The 17,302-nt window shown below is 49.5% G+C and overlaps 1 protein-coding gene, 1 long non-coding RNA gene and 2 other non-coding genes across 32 annotated transcripts in view, besides 4 other annotated features; 3 read left to right on the top strand and 1 right to left on the bottom strand.

Annotated features, from left to right (window-relative positions):
• Positions 530–1,089: an enhancer, noted in NCBI's record as "H3K4me1 hESC enhancer chr1:45200330-45200889 (GRCh37/hg19 assembly coordinates)". NCBI's record gives its function as "activates a minimal SCP1, AML or CMV promoter by ChIP-STARR-seq in naive H9 embryonic stem cells {active_cell/tissue: H9 hESC(naive)}" and the evidence as "EXISTENCE:reporter gene assay evidence [ECO:0000049][PMID:30033119]".
• Positions 2,176–2,470: a silencer, noted in NCBI's record as "tiled region #12642; HepG2 Repressive non-DNase unmatched - State 3:PromF". NCBI's record gives its function as "represses a minimal TATA promoter and a strong SV40 promoter by Sharpr-MPRA in HepG2 cells {active_cell/tissue: HepG2}" and the evidence as "EXISTENCE:reporter gene assay evidence [ECO:0000049][PMID:27701403]".
• On the top strand, positions 4,577–4,678 carry RNU5D-1 (RNA, U5D small nuclear 1). Its single transcript, NR_002755.4, has one exon. It is a non-coding gene; the product is annotated as an RNA, U5D small nuclear 1 (small nuclear RNA).
• Positions 6,358–6,407: a silencer, noted in NCBI's record as "silent region_816". NCBI's record gives its function as "represses an Ori minimal core promoter by ATAC-STARR-seq in GM12878 lymphoblastoid cells {active_cell/tissue: GM12878}" and the evidence as "EXISTENCE:reporter gene assay evidence [ECO:0000049][PMID:35858748]".
• The window catches only part of ARMH1 (armadillo like helical domain containing 1), a 50,878-nt gene continuing 43,731 nt past the window's right edge, over positions 10,156–17,302 (bottom strand). For 9 of the 26 annotated variants that reach the window (XM_011541340.2, XM_006710603.3, XM_011541345.2 and 6 more), the window contains 6 exons: positions 11,503–11,625; positions 11,355–11,427; positions 11,079–11,226; positions 10,908–10,985; positions 10,530–10,611; positions 10,156–10,456 (listed from right to left, as the gene is read on the bottom strand). In XM_011541340.2, the coding sequence (XP_011539642.1) occupies positions 10,344–10,456; positions 10,530–10,611; positions 10,908–10,985; positions 11,079–11,226; positions 11,355–11,427; positions 11,503–11,625 (617 nt within the window). In that variant the 3' untranslated portion in view covers positions 10,156–10,343. Of the gene's footprint in view, positions 10,457–10,529; positions 10,986–11,078; positions 11,227–11,246; positions 11,428–11,502; positions 11,626–13,327; positions 13,568–14,948; positions 16,348–17,302 lie in introns of those variants that run through there. The other 17 variants (XR_001737140.2, XR_001737141.2, NM_001145636.2 and 14 more) reach the window with 17 other exon arrangements.
• Positions 10,919–17,302, top strand: part of LOC105378690 (uncharacterized) — a 36,515-nt gene continuing 30,131 nt past the window's right edge. For 2 of the 4 annotated variants that reach the window (XR_007066059.1, XR_947286.4), the window contains exons 1-2: positions 11,628–11,712; positions 13,708–13,788. This is a non-coding gene — a long non-coding RNA (uncharacterized LOC105378690). Of the gene's footprint in view, positions 11,713–13,514; positions 13,789–17,302 lie in introns of those variants that run through there. The other 2 variants (XR_001738032.2, XR_007066058.1) reach the window with 2 other exon arrangements.
• Positions 12,016–12,310: a silencer, noted in NCBI's record as "tiled region #12667; K562 Repressive DNase matched - State 6:EnhF". NCBI's record gives its function as "represses a minimal TATA promoter and a strong SV40 promoter by Sharpr-MPRA in K562 cells {active_cell/tissue: K562}" and the evidence as "EXISTENCE:reporter gene assay evidence [ECO:0000049][PMID:27701403]".
• Positions 13,845–13,962, top strand: RNU5F-1 (RNA, U5F small nuclear 1). Its single transcript, NR_002753.7, has one exon. It is a non-coding gene; the product is annotated as an RNA, U5F small nuclear 1 (small nuclear RNA).

Here is a 17,302-nt window from a genome sequence, read left to right as displayed (position 1 = left end):
CTGAGGCAGGAGAATAACTTGAGGCCAGGAGTTCAAGACCAGTCTGGCCAACATAGTGAAACGCTGTCTCTACTAAAAATATAAAAATTAGCTGGGTGTGATGGCACAAGACTGTAATCCCAGCTACTTGGGAGGCTGAGGCACAGGAATCACCTGAACCCAGAAGGCGGGAGTTGCAAGTGGCAGTGAGCTGAGATCACACCACTGCACTACAGCCTAGGTGACAGAGACTCTATCTCAAAAAAAAAAAAGGCCGGGCGCGGTGGCTCACGCCTGTAATCCCAACACTTTGGGAGGCTGAGTCAGGTGGATCCCGAGGTCAGGAGATCTAGACCGTCCTGGCTAACACAGTGAAACCCCGTCTCTAATAAAAATCCAAAAAATTAACCGGGTGTGGTGGCACATGACTATAGTCCCAGCTACTTGGGGGCTGAGGCAGGATAATTGCTTGAACCCGGGAGGCGGGGTTGCAGTGAGCTGAGATTGCGCCACTGCACTCCAGCCTGGGTGACAGAGCGAGACTCCATCTCAAAAAAAGAGAAGGTGGCGGCCAGGAGCCAGTTGTGGGGAGACTGTGACTGCAGCCAGAGTGGAAGAGGGTCAGACACCCTGACATGCGGGGCAGGCTGAGGGAGAGCTCTTTAGTTGTGCTCACCATCGCCCCTCCCTCCATATACCACTCTTATCCCCCAAGGCCGTGGGTGGGTCGTTAACTGCCCCATTGCCACTGTGAGGCAGAAAACCAGCAGCGCTGTCTCAGTGCCCTAGCCTGGCCACGTAGGAACATACCTGACTTTAGACATAATCTCTGTACCTCCTCCTATACTGTGTATCCTGGGTTCTGGGCTTTTGTTTTCCCCTGTCACAATCACTGATGCCCCCAGGGTGATGTGAAGTTAAAGGGGAACACATTTGCAATAATAGGAAAACGACAGACTGAGAAACTAATTTTTTTTTTTGAGACGGAGTCTCATTCTGTGGCCCAGGCTGGTGTGCAGTGGCATGATCTCGGCTCACTGCGAGCTCCGCCTCCAGATTCAAGCAATTCTCCTGCCTCAGCCTCCCAAAATGCTGGGATTTTTGTTTTTGTTTTTGTTTTTTTGAGCTGGAGTGCAGTGTCATGATCTTGGCTCACTGCAACCTCTGCCTCCCGGGTTCAAGCGATTCTCCTGCCTCAGAATCCTGAGTAACTGGGACTATAGGTGCCCACCACCACACCTGGCTAATTTTTGTATTTTCAGTAGAGACGGGGTTTTGCCATGTTGGCCAGGCCTGTCTCAAAATCCTGTCCTCAGGTGATCTGCCTGCCTCAGCCTCCCAAAATACTGGGATTACAGACTTGAGCCACCACATCTGGTCAGAAACTGATATTAGAGGAAGCAGAATTAATAGATCTGATAGTTTGAAATAAGCATAATGGGCTAGGCGTGGTAGCTCATGCCTGTAATCCCAGCACTTTGGAAGGCTGAGGCGGGCAGATCACTTGATCTGGCCAACATGGTAAAATCCCATCTCTATTAAAAATACAAAAATTAGCCGGGTGTGGTGGCGGGCGCCTGTAATCCCAGCTACTCAGGAGGGAGGCTGAGGCAGGAGAATTGCTTGAACCCGGGAGGCAGAGATTGAAGTGAGCCAAGACTGCACCACTGCACTCCAGTCTGAGCAACAAGAGCCAAACCCCATCTCAAAAAAAGAAAAAAGAAATAAGCATAATGAACATCTTCAAAAGATAAGGAAGGATATTGTTAAGGCAGGAAGAAGCAACTGAAAATACCAGGCTTGAAAAATTTAATAGTTGAAATCCATACATGAATTGAATAGCAGAATGGTTACAGCCAAAATGAAATGAGGAGCAACAGGATCAAGGGTGAGGATTCACCCAAAAGACATCAGGAAGGGATAAAGAAAATAGGGTAGAAAACAAATGAACCAACTGTTTGTGACATACACTGTTGATGGTTAATTCAGCAGGTATTCTCAACCCCCTTCTTCCTAAATCATTTCCACATTAGAGACTGAAAAAGCTTTATAGTTACTATACTTCCTTTCCCAGACTCCCATGCAATTAGAGCTGGCCATGGGACACAGTTCTGGCCAATGAGATGTAAGCAGGAGAGTTCTGGGGGCTTGTGGGCAAGACTTGTTGTTTTTCTGTTAAAAGGGAATGACAGAAAATGCTTTCCTGGTGTCATCCCTTTTTTCTTGGCTTGGACATGGGATGTTCTTTCTGGAGTTGTGACAGCTGCCTTGTGGTCATGAGGCAGGAGACAGTAATTTGGTTAAAAGCCAACATGCTCAGGACAGCCAAGTACAGCAGGAAGAGCCTAAGAGGGTTCTTGATGGTTCAGTAGTTGAACCAATGCTAGCGACTACCTACTTCCATATATATACATTTTTAATTTCTATCTCCATATGTCATTTTTTTTTTTTTTTTTGAGACAGAGTCTCGCTCTGTCGCCCAGGCTGGAGTGCAGTGGTGAGACCTCAGCTCACTGCAACCTCTGCCTCCCGGGTTCAAGCAATTCTCCCAAGTAGCTGGGATTACAGGCGTGTGCCACCATGCCCAGGTAATTTTTTATATTTTTAGTAGAGATGGGGTTTCACCATGTTAGCCAGGATGGTCTTGATCTCCTGACCTCCTGATCCACCTGTCTCCATACTTCTTGTTGTGTGAATAAGTTTCTACATTTCTAGAAAAAAAAAGTCAAAAATGTCAAAACTGGCACAAGAAAATTTAGTACATTTTTAGTAAAATTTTTAGTAAATTTTAGAATATTTAGTAAATGTTTTATCATTCCATTTGCTTTAATAGCTAATAAAGGAATGATCAAAAATTTTCTGGCCAGGTGCAGTGGCTCATGCCTGTAACCCCAGCACTTTGGGAGGCCAAGGCAGGAGGATTGCTTGAGGTCAGAAGTTCAAGACCAGCCTGGGCAGCATAGCAAGATGTCATCTCTACAAAAAATTTAAAAATTAGCCAGCTGTGGTAGTATGCTTCTGTAGTCCTAGCTACTTGGGAGGCTGAGGCAGGAGGACTGCTTGATCCCAGGAGTTCAAGACTTCAGTGGCCCTCGATTGCACCACTGCACTCCAGCCTGGGACACAGAGCAAGACACTGTCTCAAAAAAAAAAAAAAAAAAAAATGCCAGGCGCAGTGGCTCACGCCTGTAATCCCAGCACTCTGAGAGGCCAAGGCGGGCAGATCACGAGGTCAGGAGATTGAGACCATCCTGGCTGACAGAGTGAAACTCCCATCTCTACTAAAAATACAAAAAATTAGCCAGGCGTGGTGGTAGGCGCCTGAGTCCCAGCTACTCAGGAGGCTGAGGCAGGAGAATGGCATGAACCCGGGAGGCGGAGCTTGCAGTGAGCAGAGATCGCGCCACTGGACTCCAGCCTGGGGGACAGAGCGAGACTCTTTAAAAAAAAAAAAAGTGTATGATCGAATGGTAATAAACTGGATGGGTGGGGGGGGTACTTGGCAAAGCCTGTTTGTTCAGATTATTCTTGGCCTCTGTGTGACATTCATTCCCTGTGGGCATAAGGCAGGACACTGGTCACACGAAGGTCTTCATGGGAGAAGAGAAGGAAAAGGTCAAAAATAACTTCCTGCTTATATAGTTTTCTCAGTTTCTTTGATGGCTTAAAATACTCAGTATGCCAAGGTGCCATATGTTGGGGTATCATGTTCTAAGCCCTGACACCTCTGTAACAACTCAGAATTTCTTCTCCGGGCTTCCTTCAGGTAAGGTGAAAATAAACTTCTTGCTTGTTCAAGCTACTCTTTTTGGAGTCTTTGTTACATACTGTGGAAGGCAGAGGGATGATACAAAATTCAGTATTTGCTATGATGTGGTTTTCTTTTCTTTTCTTTTGAGGTGGAGTCTCCTGTTGCCCAGGCTGGAGTGCAGTGGTGCAGTCTCGGCTCATTGCAGCCTCCGCCTCCTGGGTTCAAGCAATTCTCCTGTCTCAGCCTCCCAAGTAGCTGTGACTACATGCGAACGCCACAACGCCCAGCTAATTTTTGTATTTTTAGTAGAGACGGGGTTTCACCATGTTGGCCAGGATGGTCTCGATCTCCTGACCTCGTGATCCGCCCGCCTCGGCCTCCCAAAGTGCTGGGATTACAGGCGTGAGCCACCGCGCCAGGCCTATGAATACAATTATTTTAAAGCTTTTAATTTTTTTTTTTTTTACTTTAAGTGCCAATTATAAAATAAAGTCACTGTCTAGTTGGACCAGGCATCTACAGTTCTGTAAATCTGGCTTCCGCTCTGCCCCCTGGTGGTGGCCTAACGCCTAGAAAAAGTAACGAACTATTTAAGGTATTTCTGGAAACCGAGGGGGTGGTGACTCAGCGTCATTTACATACCCACAATGCACTGCACACAGACCACGTCCTACTTTAAAAGGAGATTCTCCCTTTTTTCCCCCTCTTTTCCTTTACCATAATAACGAAGCTCCTTTCACACAATCGTCTGAGACAAAAACAGAAGTCACTCTTTTGGGTTAATAGTAACCATTGCTAATCTAGTAGTGACCGTCCCCCGAGGACTGTGTGCAACCATTCCAACACATGCTCTGGTTTCTCTTCAAATCGTATAAATCTTTCGCCTTTTACTAAAGATTTCCGTGGAGAGAAACCGTTTTGAGTTTCAAGCAAATTTTTTGAAGCCCTATGTTGGTGGGGTTCATCAACGGTGTTTAAAAATCAGATAGAAAGTTGTGTGTTTGTTGCGAGGTGTGAGACAACATTTTGTTTGAACATTTATTTTGGGCTGTTGTAATGGTGTGAGTGTGCGTTTTTTATTTTTTTGGAAGTGGGGTTTTAGACTAGACTGTAGTGAGCAATCTTTGCCTGCCGGCTTCAAGGGATTTTCCTGCTTCAGTCTCTCAAGTAGCTGGGGCTACAGGTGGCAACACCATTCCCTGTTAGTTTTTGTATTTTAATAGAGATGGGGATTTCCCACATTGGCCAGGCTGATCTGCCCGCCTTGGCCTCCCAAAGTGCTGGGATTACAAGCATGAGCCACCGTGCGAAAATTTGGTTTTGTTTTGTGGTTTTGTTTTGTTTTGTTTTTAATTAATTTATTCTAGAAACGGTCTCACTGTGTCACTCAGTCTGGAGTGCAGTGGCACGATTATAGCTCACTGCGGCCTTAAACTCCTGGCCTCAAGTGATCCACCCACCTCAACCTCCCGTGAGCCACCGCTTCCCGCTTGGCCAGTTTAGTTTTTAAAGGGTTTTTTTTTTTTTTAAATTATGATCACTTTAGCCCAGTGGTTCCTAGATTTTTGGATTTCCCAATTATTAAAATTTCCGAAAAAGTTCTGGGGTACTATTTTTTTACCATTATACAAAAGAAAACATTTCAAGACTAAAAACTAAAACCAAACAATGACCAAAAATAAAAAGAAAAAAAAGACTAAAAACTAAAAATGACTTGATCTCTCAGCCTGACGCGGTGGACGCGGTGGCTCACACCTGTAATCCCAGCACTTTGGGAGGCCAAGGCGGGTGGATCACTTGAGGTTAGGAGTTCAAGACTAGCCTGGCCAACATGATGATATCCCGTCTTTACTAAAAACACAAAAATTAGCTGGGCGTGGGCATGGCGGCAGGCGCCTGTAATCCCAGCTACTTGGGAGGCTGAGGCAGAGAATCGCTTGAACCCAGGAGGCGGAGGTTGCAGTGAGCCGAGATTGCGCCACTGCACTCCAGCCTGGGAGACAGAGTGAGACTCCGTCCCCAAAAATAAAATAAAATAAATAAAATAAAATAAAATAAAATAAAATAAAAAAATAAGGCCAGGCGTGGTGGCTCACGCCTGTAATCCCAGCACTTTGGGAGGCCGATGCGGGTGGATCACAAGGTCAGGAGTTCAAGACCAGCCTGGCCAACATGGTGAAACCCCATCTCTACTAAAAATACAAAAATTAGCCGGGCGTGGTAGCGCATGCCTGTAATCCCAGCTACTTGGGAGGCTGAGGCAGGAGAATCTCTTGAACCCGGGAGGCGGAGGTTGCAGTGAGCCGAGACTGCGTCACTGCACTCCAGCCTGGCAAAAGAGCGAGACTCCGTCTCAAAAATAAATAAATAAATAAATAAATAAATAAAATCAGCAAAAATAAAATAGGAAATCCATTTAGCTTTAAAGAAAACATAACAACAAAACATAAATATATTTTGTTAACTTTTCTCTCCTTTGTAGGTACAAAAAGAGGAAAGCTGAGGCTCAAAATAAGTGGGGAAAGCAGAACTGCCTTAGACCAACAATGTCAGGGCTGGTGATGCCCTCTTGTGGCATCCTGGAGAATTACTGCCATCTGACTTCATTTCCTCCGACTTGGAGGGACTATTCCCTCACAATACCTCAGTCACTGATTCATGCATGCCAGGTATTGTCCTAACAGTATCCCTGTCCTCGTGGAGTTTACAGTCAGATGGAGGACATACTATTAATAAACATAATAAGGTAATGCTATGGAAAAAAATAGCAGAGTAAGGTGGGAGGGGAGGTGGTGAGTATAGAGAATGGTAGTGTGCATTGCAATTTTAAAAAGAGTAGGCCTTCTTGTAGAGTTGAAGGGAGATGGGGGAGTGAGCCCTGTGGATATATGGGATGAAGTTCTAGGCAGAGTGAACAGTCAGTACAATAGCGTTGAGACAAGAGCTTGTTTGCCAATTTCTTTTTTTCTTTTTCTTTTTTTGAGACGGCGTCTTGCTCTGTCGCCCAGGCTGGATGGAGTGCAGTGGCGCGATCTCGGCTCACTGCAAGCTCCGCCTCCCGGGTTCACGCCATTCTCCTACCTCAGCCTCCTGAGTAGCTGGGACTACAGGTGCCCGCCACCACGCCCGGCTAAGTTTTTGTATTTTTAGTAGAGATGGGGTTTCACTGTGTTAGCCAGGATGGTCTCCATCTCTTGACCTCGTGATCTGCCCACCTTGGCCTCCCAAAGTTCTGGGATTACAGGCGTGAGCTACCGCGCCCGGCCTCTTTGCCAATTAAAAAAAAAAAAAAAAAAAAAAGAACCAGCAAGGGAGTCCAGTGTGTCTGGAGCAGAGTGAAGGACAGACAGAGGCAGAAGAGTTTAGAGAGGTGATGGGAAACCTGAGCACCTAGGGTCTTCATTCAGCGAAATGGGGAGCCCTCCAAGGTTTGAGCCCAGTGATAGAATCTGAAGCTTAAAAGGATAACCCTGGCTGTCGTATTAAAAAGAGAACAGGTATTGACTGGGCACAGTGGTTCACGCCTGTGATCCCAGTACTTTGGGAGGCTGAAGTGAGTGGATAATTTGAGGTCAGGAGTTTGAGACCAGCTTGGCCAACATGGTGAACTCCTGTTTCTACTAAAAATACAAAAATTGGCTAGGCGTGGTGGCAGAAGCCTGTAATCCTAGCTACTCGGGAGGCTGAGGCAGGAGAATTGCTTGAGCCCAGGAGGTGGTGGGTGCCAGTGAGCCTAGATCACACCACTGCACTCCAGCCTGGGTGACAGAGTGACATTTCATCTCAAAAAAAAAGAAACTAAAAGAAAAGAGAACAGGAAGAGGGAGAAAAGCAGAATAACGTTGAAGAGAGATGATAGTGGCTCAGCCCAGAGTATTAACAATAGAGGTAGTGAGATATGGTTGGATTCTGGATGTATTTGGAAGATAGAGCCAACAGACATAATAGATATGGGTGCTAAAGACGGACATTAAAAAGCACTCCACTATTTTGTTTTGTTTTATAGGAAGGATGAGTTGCCATGAGTTGAATTGGGGAAAGTGGCACGGGATTAGGAGTTCAGTTTTAGACACGATGAGGTGGAAATGTTTAGCTGGAAATAGAAATGTAGGAGTCATTGGCCTATAATGATATTTAAAGTTCTGAGACAGGATGAAATCAGCAGGGTGTAAAAGCAGATAGAAGAGAGACTCCAGACCAGGAGCCCTGCCTCACTCCAACTTGAATGAGACTGGATTGAAGAGGAGAAATCTTCAAAAGAAAAAACAACACCATGCACACTCAGGCCAGGCACAGTGGCTCATGCCTACAATCCCAGCACTTTGGGAGGCCAAGGCAGGAGGATCACTTGAGCCCAGGAGTTGGAGACCAGCCTGGACAACATAGTGAGACCTCATCTCTACAAAAAAAGAAAAAAATATTAGCTGAATGTGGTCGTGGTGCACATCTGTAGTCCCAGCTACTCCGGAGGCTGAGGCATGAGAATTGCTTGAGCCTGGGAAGCAGAGGTTGCAGTGAGTCGAGATTGCACCCCTGCACTCCAGCCTGAGCAACAGAGACCCTGTCTAAAAAAAAAAAAAAAAAAAAAAGCTGGGTGTGGTGGCTCACGCCTGTAATCCCAGCACTTTGGGAGGCTGAGGCGGGCAGATCATGAGGTCAGGAGTTCGAGACCAGCCTGGCTAAGATGGTGAAACCCCATCTCTACTAAAAATACAAAAGTTAGCTGGGTTTGGTAGTGCATGCCTGTAGCCCCAGCTACTCAGGAGGCTGAGGTTGCAGTGAGCCGAGATTGTGCCACTGCATTCCAGCCTGGTGACACAGCGAGACTCCGTCTCAAAAAAAAAAAAAAAAAAAAAAAAAGACTATGCACACTCCAGCCCCTCCTGGAAGAACCTACCTTTTTCCAGAAATCCTCAACCCAGTCTCCACCTACCTGCCCTAAGTTCCCTTGAGACTCCCTTTTTACCAGGCCCCTCCCCCTGGGAGAAGGTGCTTTGAGCATGAGCTCCCCTTCCTCCATTCCTATGATGTAAGGTTTTCTTCTTGGTCACTTTGCAAGCTGGGGACCTCTGGCCAGCAATGCCCTGCCAGGTCTCACTCGCCAGGCTACCTGCTGCAGGAGATGGCCTTTACTTGCTGCAGGAGACGACCCACCCGCTCAGTCCAGTTGGCGGAGTCTAGCTTATGCACTGGTTCCCGAGTTCTCGTCCCACGAGCCCAAGAAGAATGAGGATGCACTGGCAATTGAAGAGTGAGCAAGGTGGGGTTTTACTGAGTGATAAAACAGCTTTCGGTGGCTGTGGGGGGTGGTCCCCCTACCTGAAAGTGGGAAAGTCCCCCTAATATGGCTGAGTCCAGGGCTTCTATGGGCTCAGAATGGGGGAAGGGCAGGCCATAGGTAGTATTGGAAAAGGCAACATTCAATTGGTTAAAAGGCATTATTCAGAAAGAATCAATCAGGAAAGGGCAGGCAAACAGAAACAGAAGTTCTCACTCTGGGTTGTGGGTTTCATCCAGGACCAGCAGTCGGTCTTTCAGCCTTCAGGCTGTTTTTGGTTTGAAGGTGGGGTTCACTGGGGACCCACCCCTATCTGCCTAGGCATTTGGCTGCCTCCTGTTGCTATCTCCTAGATCAATGAATAAAGCTTCTGCTCTGCTTTATGGAACCTGGCCTTGTTCTATTGGTGCAAATGGTTCCAGGCAAGGAAAGGACCCATTAGGATCAAACGACCCCCTTTAATGTCTGTAACAACCGGAGAAAAACCAGGTAGGTAGGGTGTTCTGGAGGAAAGGGTGCATAGGCCATCAGGGAGTGGAGGTGAGGCCCTCTATTCAGGCTATGCCCTTGAACCTTCTAGGGTGTTGGTGGCCCTTCCCTCTGGATCTGCTTTTTTTTTTTTTTTTTTTTTTTGAGAATGAGTCTCACTCTGTCGCCCAGGAGGCTGGAGTGCAGTAGTGTGATCTTGGCTCACTGCAGCCTCTACCTCCCGGGTTGAAGTGATTCTCCTGCCTCAGCCTCCCAAGTAGCTGGGATTACAAGTGTGTGCCACCACACCCGGCTAATTTTTTATTTTTTATTTATTTTTTAGTAGAGACGGAGTTTGACCCTGTTGGCCAGGCTGGTCTCGAACTCCTGACCTCAGGCGATCCGCCCACCTCAGCCTCCCAAACTGCCAGGATTACAGGCGTGAGCCACCGTGCCCGGCCTGTTTTTGTGATGGGGTCTTGCTTTGTTGTCCATGATGGCTTCCAACTCTTGGGCTCAAGAGATCTTCTTCCTTCAGCCTGCAGAGTAGCTAGGATTACAGGTGCAAGCCACCGTCCTAAACTTGGACCTGCTTTTTAACTTGAGGAGCACAGGCACCACAATCTAGCATCATAGCTCTCACTTGACCTCCCTTCCCCCTCCACACACACAAAGAACAGACAGGTATCAAGGCTGTTTATTGACTCTTCGCAGCCAGCGGCTCTTCCTCTGCCCCTCTGGGATGCCTAATCCCCGTCTCCCCCCTGGAGCCAAGTGGAGTGGCTCTGAGCTTGACCCCAGGCGCCTTCCTCTTGCCAGGCTTCCCTGCCCCGCAGCCTTGGCCTTCCTGGTTTGCCACAGGGGCTGTTACTCCTTTGATTCTACATCCTCCTCGAAGTGTGTGAGGTAGGCCATCTGAGCCGAATCGCGCGAGCCATAGAGAGTGTTCATGCTGTAGGAGCTGCCATGGAGGCACAGGGCTGCAGGCAGGAAAGGCGGGCGTGAGGCTGTGCTGGCGGCGCCTGCGCCCGGCTTCCCTCGTCCCACACTCACCTTTGGTAACATTGACTGTGTTGGCCGCCAAGATGTCCGCCTGAATGCTGTCTATTTTCATGTACAAGTCCTCAGCGTTGCTCTGAGGACAGGAGCAAGGGGGACCCGGCTGGGGTGCCAGGGCAGTCTGGACTTGGAGTTGGGCTTGGCAGAGGGATGTTGCAGGTGGGGGGCGGGTCGGCAGCCTGACCGAAAGGGCAGGAAAGGGAACAGGAAGGTGGCGGGTGGAGGAGCCTACGCCAGAGCAGTCCCTCCTGCAGCTGGTGGCCAGGTCCACTCTGCATGTGGCGCGCTCCAGGATGGGGACTGTCTGAAGGGGCATCACACTGTCCGAGCCGCCATCTGCTCATTGCGGCGGGGCAGGAAGGGCGCACTTACCAGGAAGAGCTGGTAGAGTTCCTCCCCCATGCACTTGCGCACGTGCTCCGCCACCAAGGGGAACATCTGCACGAAGCACTGCGCCGCGCGGGCGAGGCGGCGTGACTGCGGGGGCGACGGGGCTGCGGGTGCCGCCGCCCTTCCCGCCCCCTAACCAGCCGCCGCGCGCACCTCCAGCGTGAGGCTGGCCAGCCGCTGGCTGTTGCTGTGGTCCGTGTTGCCCATGGCGGCCATTAGGCCACGCACCACGCGCAGGTACAGCAGCTCCTCGGCGATGCTCATGTCGTTGCGCGCCAGGACCCTGGGCCGGGGGTTCGGGCTGGGGCGACGCCCTGGGGCTCACCCGGCGCACACCCCCGCCCACCCGGCGCACGGAGCGCTCCCGGGGCCCGCCGGCAGCGCCAAGCCAGGCTTGCTGCAGCTACCCACTAACCCCTGCCCGCTTACCCGATGGCCTTGGCGGCCGCGGCCTGCTGCAAAAACATCGGCAGGCTGGGGGTGAGCTGGAGAACCGAGGGGTCTGAGGAGGGGGCAGCCGTGAGGCAAGAGACCGCCCTCCCGTGGCCCAGGCAGCCCCATTTGAGCAGGTCCTTACCACTGAGGATCTTGGCCTGCAGTTTGGAGATCTCCTTGACCGACGGTATCAGCAGCGCCACGAGGCCCTTGAGCAGCGCCTGGCGCACATCGTAACCGACCAGGTCTTTGATCAACTCGATGGCTGCGGAAGGGCAGAGGTGCTGGAGAGAGGCCCCAGGCCCCTCCGCCACCGAGGAAGCAAAGAACCCCGTGAACCAAGTCGCCACTCGTCAGTGTCCTCCTCTTTTACTGATCAGCACTGTGCAGGGCGTGGGGGAGCTGGGAAGGCGAACCTCAGTTGAAGAGCAGGAGGAGGGGGCTGAAGGGGGAGGAGGAAGGGTTGGATGGTGAGCCCACCTGTCGAGGCGGCCTAGGATGTCAGCGCTGGAGGCTGAGACCCCAGAGAGGGGGGCCTTCGCCTTGGAGGAATCCAGGTTTCATGGAGGAGGGAAGGGCTGGGTCTTTACGGGAAGACAAGATGGAGAAAGACAAGGGGTGAGAGGGAGACAGAGAAAGTGGGTGGGAGACTTGTGGCAGGAAATGAGAAAGGGGAAGGAAGGTAGGCGGCAGTTTAGAGAAACTCTCCTTCTAACCATCATCGAGCCCTCTCCACCAGGCAGGGTGCCAGGCTTTCCATACAGCACCCGTGGAAGCTCACCAGAACCAGATGAGGTTCACTTCCCCATTTTACCTTTGCCGAAATTAGACACAGAGAGGTAAACCACTTTGCCTAAGTTACACAGCTAGGAAGTGATGGAAGCAGAAGGAGGGGAGGATTTGGTTAGGAAGGAGAAGGGGACTAGAATTTATGGAGGGCATTTCCTGCAGGGCTTTCCTGTAGATATTTTACAGGCAGTCATTCATTCAGTCCAGCATTCACTCAGTCTTTCGGCACGGCTGCATGTGAACGCCTATGGTGCCAGGCGCGGCATTGGGTGTTGAGGATACAGACTGAATTCATTCATTCGACCAACCCTCCTTAAGCGTGCACAAACAGGCAGCGATGATATGGTGACAGGTGCTGTGGAAGGAGTCAGTGATTGGGCTGTGGGAGCACAAGAGAAAATCGGCAAGGATTGAATGTTTTTGTAAAGAAGAGAAAGGAACCACAGAGCTAGAGGGGGCAGGAGGAGAAGGAGATGCTAAGATGATGGCACACCAGCATAAATGCTACCTTTTTTTTTTTTTTGAGACAGAGCCTCACTCTGTCGCCCAGGCTGGAGTGCAGTGGCGCGATCTCGGCTCACTGCAACCTCCGCCTCCTGGGTTCAAGCAATTCTCCTGCCTCAGCCTCCCGAGTAGGCTGGGATTACAGGCGCCCGCCACCACACCCGGCTAATTTTTTTTTTTTTTTTTTTTTGTATTTTTAGTAGAGATGGGGTTTCACCATCTTGGCCAGGCTGGTCTTGAACTTCTGACCTCGTGATCCACGCGCCTCGGCCTCCCAAAGTGCTGGGATAGCAGGCATGAGCCACTGGGCCCGGTGGGCCCAGCCAGTAAATGCTAGTATTTTTGTTTGTTTGTTTTTTTGAGACGGAGTTTCACTGTCATCACTCAGGCTGGAGTGCAATCGCTCACTGCAACCTCTGCCTCCCGGGTTCAAGCGATACTCCTGCCTCAGCCTCCTGGGAAGCTGGGATTACAGGCGTCTGCCACCACGCCCGGCTGATTTTTGTATTTAGTAGAGACAGGGTTTCACCATGTTGGCAAGGCTGGTCTTGAACTCCTGACCTCAGGCCTCCCAAAGTGCTCAGGCCTCCCAAAGTGCTCCCAAAGTGACCGAGAACTCCTGCCTCGGCCTCCCAAAGTGCTGGGATTACAGGCATGAGCCACCACGCCTGGACTTTTTTTTAAATTTAAATTTTATTTTTTTTCTGAGACAAGGTCTTACTCTGTCGTCCAGGCTGGTCTTGAACTCCTGGGCTCAAGCGATCCTCCTACCTCTGCCTCCTTAAGTGCAGGGATTACAGGTGTGAGTCACTGTGCACCGGGCACTGCTACTCTGAACACATGTGGCTACATGGAAGACAGGACTTGGCCATGTGCTCTCCCCAGCTCAGTAGTCAAGTGCCTCTCTCCATTTACTGGTAAGAGAGAGAGGGTTTAGAGGAACTCTTGTTCCGGCGCTCAGCTCATTTGCATCCCAGAATGCATTGTAGATACGAGAATTATTACCAGGGTTATCTGTTTGAATAATAATATTTAAACTTTTTTTCTTTGTCAGGAGATTTTACCCAGTGAGAACATGTTTAGGACACTTTTCTACAGTGGAAGAAAAGCTTCTGTCTGCAGGTCCAAAGGCACCGTAAGTAGAGGGAGACCAGTCAATAGCTGGGAAGCCAGGCAAAAGGCTAACAGGCAGATCTCTGGTTTCTCTTCATAACGAATAAATCTTTCGCCTTTTACTAAAGATTTCCGTGGAGAAAAACAACTATGAGTTTATGGTTAAATTTTTTGAAGTCTTGCCTAGGCAAGGCTGAATGTTCTGTTACTAAAGAGAGACGTGTGGGTGGGGTGTTTCATGCTTTGGGAGGTTGGGGTAGCTCCACAAATGTCACCCAGGTTGTAGCGGAGTGGTGTGGTCGCGGCTCACTACAACCTCCATCTCCCATGCTCAAGCAATCCTCCCACCTCAGCCTCATAAGCCTGTCTAATTTTGTGTACTTTTTGTAGTGCCCGGCCTACTGTCATGTTTTTTTAGCTTCTTGTAAACATTTAGGAAGCTAAATGTTTATAAGATTTTTTTTTTTAAAAGAAAACCTAGTTTTTGACAGTCTGTATCTAATAATTTGGCTGAAGTCTTGTGAGTCTTTCTAGTGTGCTAGTTCCAATTTATAGTGATGACTTTGTGTGCATGATTATCTTATACTTTGGACTGGTCTCATATTTGAAAAATTAAGTGTAGGAAAAACTTAAGAGTTAGGATGATGATACTTTCTTCCAGAGATAGTTTTCTTTTGTTTTTATCAGGTACCTGGGGACACAAACAATTCTGGACTACCTTTGTCCACATTCAACACTTGAGGTTCTCTGGACCACCTGGTAGTTATATAATCCATACAAGACCACCTGAGGGCCGGCTTACTTTTGGCCCACCTTGACCTTGAGGGTACTGTCTTCTGGGGTCCAACTTAAAGTATGTATGCTAGAGGTATCAGACTTCCCACCGAGAGCAGAATCTCAGTGCCTTCTCTTTCTTTTGCCCTTTTTTTGTTTTGTTTTGTTTTGAGATGGAGTTTCACTCTGTCACCCAGGCTGGAGTACAGTGGTACGATCTCGGCTCACTGCAGCTTCCACCTCCTGGGTTCAAGGGATTCTCCTGCCTCAGCCTCCCGAGTAGCTGGGATTACAGGTGCGCACCACCACGCCTGGCTAATTTTTGTATTTTTTAGTAGAGACAGGGTTTCACTATGTTGGCCAGGCTGGTCTTGAACTCCTGACCTCAAGTGATCCACCTGCCTTGGCCTCCGAAAGTGCTGGGATTACAGGTGTGAGCCACCACGCCCGGCCTGAGAAGTCTTCTTTATCTGGCTATTGCTACTCATTCTTCTAGGCTCAGCTGAGAAATCAACTTTCAGGAAGCTGCCCCTGGCCTGCTCTCCTCTGCCTTCACTCTTCACTCAGGAGTAGATGTCCTATGTCTCTGAACCCGTAGCACCGTATAGAATTCTTGCTATAGAATTCTAGTACTATCCACTAAATGGTCTCCTCACTAGTGTGTGAACTCCAATGAACATATCTGACACATCTCACTTCTGTTTACCTAGAGCCTGAAACCATTCCATGTACACAATGCATGCTCCATACATCTTGTTGAAAAGACCTCATTGGATTCTGCATTCCAACAGGCGAGGCTTGGGTCATGGCAGCCTAGGACCACGCTTAGAAACCACCAGCCTGGTGGTGGATGACCCCAGAGGAGGCTCTGCAGTGGCCACTGTGGTCCTCATTCACACAGCTACAGAACTTTCCTAGCTTGAATCTTGGACAGGCTGGAGAGCCAGAACTGTGGCAGCTGTCTCCCCGTATACCCCATGGCCAACTTTTTTTTTTTTTTTTTTTTTTTGAGACAGAGTTTTGCTCTTGTTGCCCAGGCTGGAGTGCAATGGCACGATCTTGGCTCACTGCAACCTCTGCCTCATGGATTCAAGCAATTCTCCTGCCTCAGCCTCCCAAGTAGCTAGGATTATAGGCGCCCGCCACCACACCTGCCTAATTTTTTTGTATTTTTAGTAGAGACGGGGTTTCACCATGTTGGCCAGGCTGGTCTCTAACTCCTGTCCTCAGGTGATCCACCCACCTTGGCCTCCCAAAGTGTTGGGATTACAGGCGTGAGCCACTGCACCTGGCCCCATGGCCAACTTTGAGAGTGCTTTGAAGCCAGGACCTTATACTTCTTGGCCACCCCAGAACTGGGCACCACTCTATGGATGCTCATATCATACAACCCAGGCACAACAGAAAGGGGAAGAGTGTGGTCCTTCTCACAGTGGGAGACACAGGGCACCTGGTGAGATGGTCAGAGATGTGGACTGCGTGGATTTACAGAGCACACAGAACAGGTCTCTGCTTCAGCTCCTGCAAACTTTACTTGTTTAACTCCAAACAGACATATGCTGCCTAAAAAGGAACACATGCTGGCGATTTCTAACTTTGTCAGAAAACTATCATTGATGATTTCCAAAAGAGCAGTGGTCTGGGAAGGCAGAGGGAGCAGCCACATCCTGTGTGCTGCAGGCTGCATGCTCAGCTCTCCTGGGTGCTGAAAACACCGGCGGAGGGATGGGGAGCTGACTTCTCCACTCCAGGGCTCAGAGTGCCCTTCGGCAGGAAGAAGAGAATGAGTTTTGGCTGGTGTGTCAATCTAAGGAAAGGCATGGAAAGGCTACTAGTAGAGAACCAGCCTGCCTCCTCGAAATTGCCCTTGTGCCAGATCCTGCTCTCCTCTGCCTCTTGCCCATCATCCTCAGGCTCCAGAGCCTTGAGGCACACTAGAGGGGGCCTGGTCCTGAAGCCCTATAAAAGCTAGTTTTGTCTCATCCTGGTTTTCCCAATCACAGAATTAAAAAATCACCTGGAGGTGGAAGATCTTCAAAGACATCCTGTGCTACCCCTTCCAGTACTTATTCACCCTTTGGGGGACAGACCTTGTGGGGCAGACCCTTTCCTCTGAGGACCTTCCTGATTTAGAAATAGTGGCTTCATTCAGAAATGCCTTTTTTTTTTTTTTTTTTTTTTCCGAGACAGTTTCACTCTTGTTGCCCAGGCTGGAGTACTATGGTGCGATCTTAGCTCACTGCAACCTCTGACTCATAGGTTCAAGTGATTCTCCTATCTCAGCCTCCCAAGTAGCTGGGATTACAGGCATGCACCACACTGGCCAGCTAATTTTTTGTATTTTCAGTAGAGACGGGTTTCTCCATGGTGGTCAGGCTGGTCTTGAACTCCCGACTTCAGGTGATCCGCCTGCCTCGGCCTCCCAAAGTGCTGGGATTACAAGCATGGGCCACCATGCCCGGCCCAGAAACGCTTCTTATGACCAACCAGCCACTGCTGCTGGGCTGCCTCTTTCTTCTAAGTCTTCTAAGGTAGCCCTCGCAATCCCATCTGCCCACCCTCTGCAGCCTCTGGTTGCCCAGATGTGGTCCTATTTTGGAATCAAAGGCCCAGCAACATTGTGGAGGGAAAGGGACCAGCCCCGGGAAGGGGCAAAGCACTTGAGCTTCCCTGGCTTCCCCCAAACACTCTCTGATCTGGACAAAATGGCAGACCGGACATCTCTGGCTGCTTGGCAGCCGTAGCCTGCACCGGCTGCTGCC

Source organism: Homo sapiens, chromosome 1 (assembly GCF_000001405.40).
Source record: "Homo sapiens chromosome 1, GRCh38.p14 Primary Assembly".
In the NCBI taxonomy this organism is placed as follows: Eukaryota; Metazoa; Chordata; class Mammalia; order Primates; family Hominidae; genus Homo; species Homo sapiens.
This window is presented reverse-complemented; position numbering and strand designations above follow the sequence as displayed.